Source organism: Homo sapiens, chromosome 10, assembly GCF_000001405.40.
Source record: "Homo sapiens chromosome 10, GRCh38.p14 Primary Assembly".
Lineage (NCBI taxonomy): Eukaryota > Metazoa > Chordata > Mammalia > Primates > Hominidae > Homo > Homo sapiens.
Window position 1 is genome coordinate 37,380,700 of NC_000010.11, and position 6,173 is coordinate 37,386,872.

The window sequence follows — 6,173 nt, forward strand, 5'->3', positions numbered from 1 at the left end:
CATGTATAGCAAGCCTTGCATGAAACATGCCTCCTGAATCCCACATTCTCTGAGGGGTGCTTCATGGAGCTTCCTGCTCTCCGCTGATGAAACCTGGCTCTCACAGGCCAGCCAGGGGCAGCAGGGCTCAGCCTCAGCAATACCTACCAGGGACTCTAGAGATAACTGAAGTATCTGTTGAGAATCACCCACTCCACACCCTAGAATGGGAAATACATGCAGGTTCCTATATAACTAACATTGACATGCATTTATACTGTAAACCCTGAACGCTGCTCAGTCGGGCCCTGTGAGGCCCTTGCAGTTTCTCTTCAGTAAGAATTGAATAAGAACTCTTAAAAGTGTGGCTGCTGGCCTGGTGCGGTGGCTCACGCCTGTAATCCCAGCACTTTGGGAGGCTGAGGTGGGCAGATCACCACAAGGTCAGGAGTTCGAGACCAGCCTGACCAACATGGTGAAACCCCGTCTCTACTAAAAATACAAAAATTGGCCAGGTGTGGTGGTCCCAGCTACTCAGGAGGCTGAGGCAGGAGAATTGCTTGAACCCGGGAGGCAGAGGTTGCAGTCAGTTGAGACTGCACCACTGCACTCCAGCCTAGGGTACAGAGTGAGGAGTGAGACTGTCTCAAAAAAAAAAAAAAAAGTGCAGCTGCTGAGAGAGTCTCTGTGTCAACTTAGTTTGAGTTCTTCTTCTGGGCCCTGTATGTCCTTGGGTGTACCCCATGCCATCCCATGTAAGGTTGGCTGTCTAATCCAGGTGGATCAGGAGGTGCTTTGTGGTTTTAGCAGCAAAGAAATGACGTCTGGCAAGCAAACAATGATTAAACATGTTTCCATTTGTGACTTGTCTTTCGGTGAAATGCAAAAGGTGGCTGTGCATTCTTAATTCAAAGAAAATCTCTTTAAAATCCCCTCATCCCTTCTTGTTCTTCTAAATAATCTATTCCTAGATATCTTGCACCCCGCAAACTCCCTCAGCCTCCATGGCAGCTTTTCTCTCTCCTCTCTCTCTTTCCCGTCTCTCCATCTCCTCACTTCAGCCTTTCCTCTTTCTTAGCTCTTTATTACGTAGAGAAAAACCTCTCCAACCTCTTTAGCATTCTCTCCATTGCATCCCTTACCTGAATTCTCCCCAAGAAAGAGCCCAAGATCTGACACAGCAATCAGAAATACTCCACCCTTAGAAGCCCAGGGGCGAAGGAGTTCAACACTTTGTCCCTGTTACAGTCACTTCCTTGCATCAGGACCCTTGTTACTATTTACAGACTATTTTCCACGTCTACTAATGCAACTGCTCAAAGGGCACTTTAAGAATAATCATTATCCATTGATATTTTTTGGAGGCTTTTATTCCCTCCAATAAGTTCTGCCAAATACTGGCTGCTGGCTCTATTTGTTAAACAATGGAGGGTGTTGTTCTGCTTGTTTTTTTTTTTTGTTTGTTTGTTTGTTTTTCTTAATCTGAGCTTTCTGCCCACTCTTAGCACGGGGCAAAGGGAAGATTTTTCTGCCACTTCTTTTGGTGAGAAGAGTCACTTTCTGATTAGGATTTGAGCTGAAAATAGGTCCCCCTTTGGGAAGAAACATGAGTGCAGGGCGCTTCCTGTGTCACTCCCAAGGAGGCACCTCCTCAGGGCAGTTCCTCTTTGAGAATTTCATGGTCAGTAAGAAGTAGGCTCCCAGGGACCCCAGAGTGGGGACCCTTTGACTGAAGTCACCCCAGTGGGTATAAGATAAACATAAGAGACGCTTCTCAGAGAAGATTTGGAAAGAAGTAAAAGAGTAAAAGGTTCACACGGACCATGGAGTTCTGGAAAAGGGCCCAGAAAGGGAAGCTGTGGCTAAGATGAGAAACTGCCTGATTACACTGACCCAGGAGAGGGGATGAAATCTCTGGTCACGTATCTCAATAATGATTTTCCACATGCTACAAAGCTTGTGGGTTTACCAAATGAGTTTTATACTTTCCTGTGTTTTCCTGGTTGTAAAAGTTGTCCTTTTGCTTCCATGTTTAGGACTCAGTTGAGCAATTCTTGTAGGGCCAGTCTAGTGGTGACATATTTCTTCAGGATTTGCTTGTCTGGAAAATACTTTATTTCGACTTTATTTATGAAGTTTAGGCTTGCTGAATGTAGAATTCTTAGCTGACATTTTTTTCTTTCAGTATTTTGAAAATACTATCCCATTCTTTTCTGCTGAGACAGGTTTCTGCTGAGAAGCCCACTGTTAGTCTGATGGGGTCTCCTTCATAGGTGACTAGGTGCACTTTTCTTTCTGATTTTATAATCTTCACTTTCATATTGATTTTAGACAGTCAGATTATAATGTGCTATGGTGAAATCCTTTCTGCGTTCATTTGTTAGGGATCACTGAGCCTTCCATATCTGAATGTCTAAATCTCTTGCTGAATGTGGAAAGATTTTATCTTTTATTTTATTAAATAGGTTCTTTAGGCCTTTTGAATTCTCTTAACCCTTGAGAATACTGATAATTCATAAATTGGTTTGCCTTATGTAGTCCCAAATGTCTCAAAGAGTTTCACTTACTTTTAAACATTTATTTTGCAAAATTTTGTCTGGATTATTTCAAAGTTGTAGAATTTTTTCTTTTCCTTGGTATAGCCTATTTTTGAAGGTTTTAAATGCATTTTGTATTTCCTCCAATATTTTTTTTTCTTTCAGAATTTCTGTTTTTTCTTTTCTTTTCTTTTTTAAGATATCTATTTCCTTTCTCATTTGTACCTTGAATTGATTTTCTGACTTTCTTTTATTGGTTTTCAGATTTCTTCTGCATCTCACTAAGCTTCTTTAAAATTAATGTTTTGTATTTTTTAGGGGATGATGAATATGTTTATTATCATGATAGTGGTGTTGGTTTTATGGGTATACATATGTCAAATCTTAACCAAATTTTATACTATAAACATGTGCAGTTTATTGTATGGCAATTATACATCAAGATGTTAAAATAGGGCCACAAACTCTTTTCTGTTTCTCTCAGTAAGAGATGCATTATAATTCTCTTCCCACTGAGTCTGGGGTGGCCTTGGTGTATCGTTTGACCATTAGGATATAGCACATACTGGGACTTCTGAACATAAGTCTTAGGCATTGCATCTGGCCAGACGAGGTGGCTTATGCCTGTAATCCCAGCACTTTGGGAGGCTGAGGCGGGCGGATCATGAGGTCAGGAGATGGAGACCATCCTGGTTAACATGGTGAAACCCCGTCTCTACTAAAAATACAAAACAAAAAAAAATTAGCTAGGCGTGGTGGTGGGTGCCTGTAGTCCCAGCTACTTGGGAGGCTGAGGCAAGAGAATAGTGTGAACCTGGGAGGCAGAGCTTGCAGTTAGCCCAGATTGCACCACTGCACTCCAGCCTGGGTGACAGAGCAAGACTCCATCTCAAAAAAAAGAAAAAAAAAACAGGCATTGTGTTTTTGGCACAGCTGTCTGGGAACACTCTCTGAAAGCCCTGAGCTGCCACATAAGAAGTCTGGCTACCTTGAGACTGTGATGCTAGAGAGGCCATGTGTAGATACTCCAGTTGAAGCTCCCAGCTGAGCCCAGCCTTCTCCATCAAAGTGCCAGATATGTGATTGACTAGCCCAGACCAGCCCAGATACCATCTAAATACCACAGGATAAGCTTTGTTACTATCACGTGGAAAAAATATATCTATTACCCCAATTGAGCCCTGTTTGAGTTTCTGACCTCTGGAATTGTGAGATATATTTAAAAACCTGTTGTTTAAAGCCATTAGAAAGTTTTGAGGAAGTTTATTATGCAGCAGTAGATAACAAGAAATGAATTTGGCACAAGGAAGTTGAGAGTGCTTTTGCAGCAAAAATATGTGGCATTGACATTGGTACTGGGTAGTAGGCAGAAGCTGAAAGAGCCATGAAAAGACCGATGGTGAAAGGTTGGAGAACAATGAGGAAGATGTTATTAGAGCTGGAGAAAATATGACACATTATGTGGTTGTAAGAAGTTTTGTGAACCTGTTGACTTTATATCAATACTTTGGATTTTTTCTCTGATATTTTGAGGATTTATTTTTGGTTAAGATCTTCTGTTAAGGACATATTATGTTCCTTTAGGGATGTCATATTTCCTTGCTTTCTTATGTTTCTTGTGTCTGTACATTGATTTCTGTGCATCTGATATGAAAGTCACTTTTTATTTTTGAATTTACTTTCTTTAAGGGTGAGGATTTTTTTCCTGAAGATGTGACTATAATGTTCGTTGGGTGGGGTTTGTTGGCTTTGCATTCAATCGTGAAGTCTGTGTGATTTCTTTGGCTGTGAATATCATTAGTGGCATCTGTGGTTTCCTCAGTGTGTTACAGTGTGGTTATTGCTAGAGACTACAGTGAAGTTGTGCTGGCTACACTGAAATGCTGTATGGTCCCATTTCTGGGTTTCAGTGGTAGCGCCGGTGAACTAAGCTTATCTATCCTTTTGCCCTAGGGTGACATATGCTGGCACTTGTGTTGGTGACTCCAGGCAGGCCACCAGCAGGGTAGCTTACTCAGATGCCAGTTGTAGTTGTAGTGTACTGGGAGGGTGAATGGACTCTCAAACTTCTAGACAGCCATAGTGGCATGGGCAATGGAGGTAGCAGTGGTGATGAAATGCTCTTCCAAGTCTCAAGTAGTCTTCTGAGTCCCAATTGTGTTGGCAATGGTTGCAATGGGCTGTGTAGGCCAGTCTCTAGGCCAGTTGTTGGAACTTGCAGGTAAAAGCAATATAAGGTGGTAGCAGTAGGGTGTTTACACCCAACCTCAATACCCCCAAAAGACAGACTTGGTTGTCCCAGTTGGTAGATTAGGTTGGGGAACCTCCCCACGACCCTGGATCTTGCATTTTATCTCAAGGAAATGATGATACTGGGTGGAGCTAAATTGCCCTCAGCTTCCCCCAGTGGTGAGTGTCTGCACAGATGTAATTGGTAGGAGTTAGGCAATCCTCCCAGGGCTGGTGAAATGCTTGGGTGAGGGGCAACTGTCACTGCCCTGAGGTCCTGCCACAGGGAGGGTGATGGTGGTCTCCGCATCCACAGCTTTGACTGGTGGATGGGGAACTTTTATCCCTCTCATGCCCAGCCCCACTGGGGCTTGCTCCCTCCTTTCACCTGTCACAGACAACTTGACTATTCTGCCAAACATGAGAAATTTATACTGTTCTTTAGTTCAACCCTGGGTCATAGTAGCCCCTCCCCAGCTCAAGACCAAGCCACTGTGACAACTGTCACCCTGCTCAAGTCCTGGGGGTAATGCCTACTTTCAATGCCATTGGATGCACTCCATGCCATGCTTGTTTCTCAGTCTTGGTTGTGTTAGCCCTCTCCCTGCTCATGCCCCAGTTCCGTGAGCAGCAGCTTGAGTTTCCTTAATGCCTGGGATTGGCAACCCTGGTAACAAGGACCATGAACACTCTATTAAGAGCTAGGATTAACAATGGCATCTTGCTATAGCTGCTTAGGCTTCAGGAAGGGTGTGGAACTAAAAGCATTTTCCCTCCCTTGAGCAGTTCCTTGTCTCAGTCCCCTGACTGCTCCCTATGCTAGATTCAGGGATTGAGAGGGTCAAAATGCTCTCCCAAGATCTAGATTGTATGATTCCCCAGTGAGAAAATGGACCACAGAAAAGCCATTGCTTACTTTCTCCTGTATTATAGAGTCACTCCTGATTTCCAGCTGGTCTTGGTCACACAGGCTGGCTGTTTTTCTTTTCCTTTCTAGTTTTTGCAGTCTCCTGTCACTTCTGTTAAACTCTTGTGTTCTCTCTTGGATAATGTACTCAATGTATGATTGTCTATATGCTATTATGGTGCTAAATGGATGAGGCTGGCTTGAAATGCTCCTAGTTAGCCATCTTAAAAAAAATGGTACTGATCTTCAATAATGCCACCTTGCTAAACTCACTTACTAGTTCTAGTGAGTTTTAAAAATTCCTCAGACATTTTTATTTGCATGATAATGTGATCTGTAAAGTTTCCAAACCCCAGGTGGAAGCCATTAATTTATTTTTGTTGCATCATATCTCTGGCTAAGACCTCCAGTATAATGTTGAATGGAAGTGGTAGAAACAGACGTTTTTGTCTTGTTTCTAAAGTAACGTTCCCAAACCCAGGTTTTAACCATTACATGTGACATTAGCTGCACATTTTATA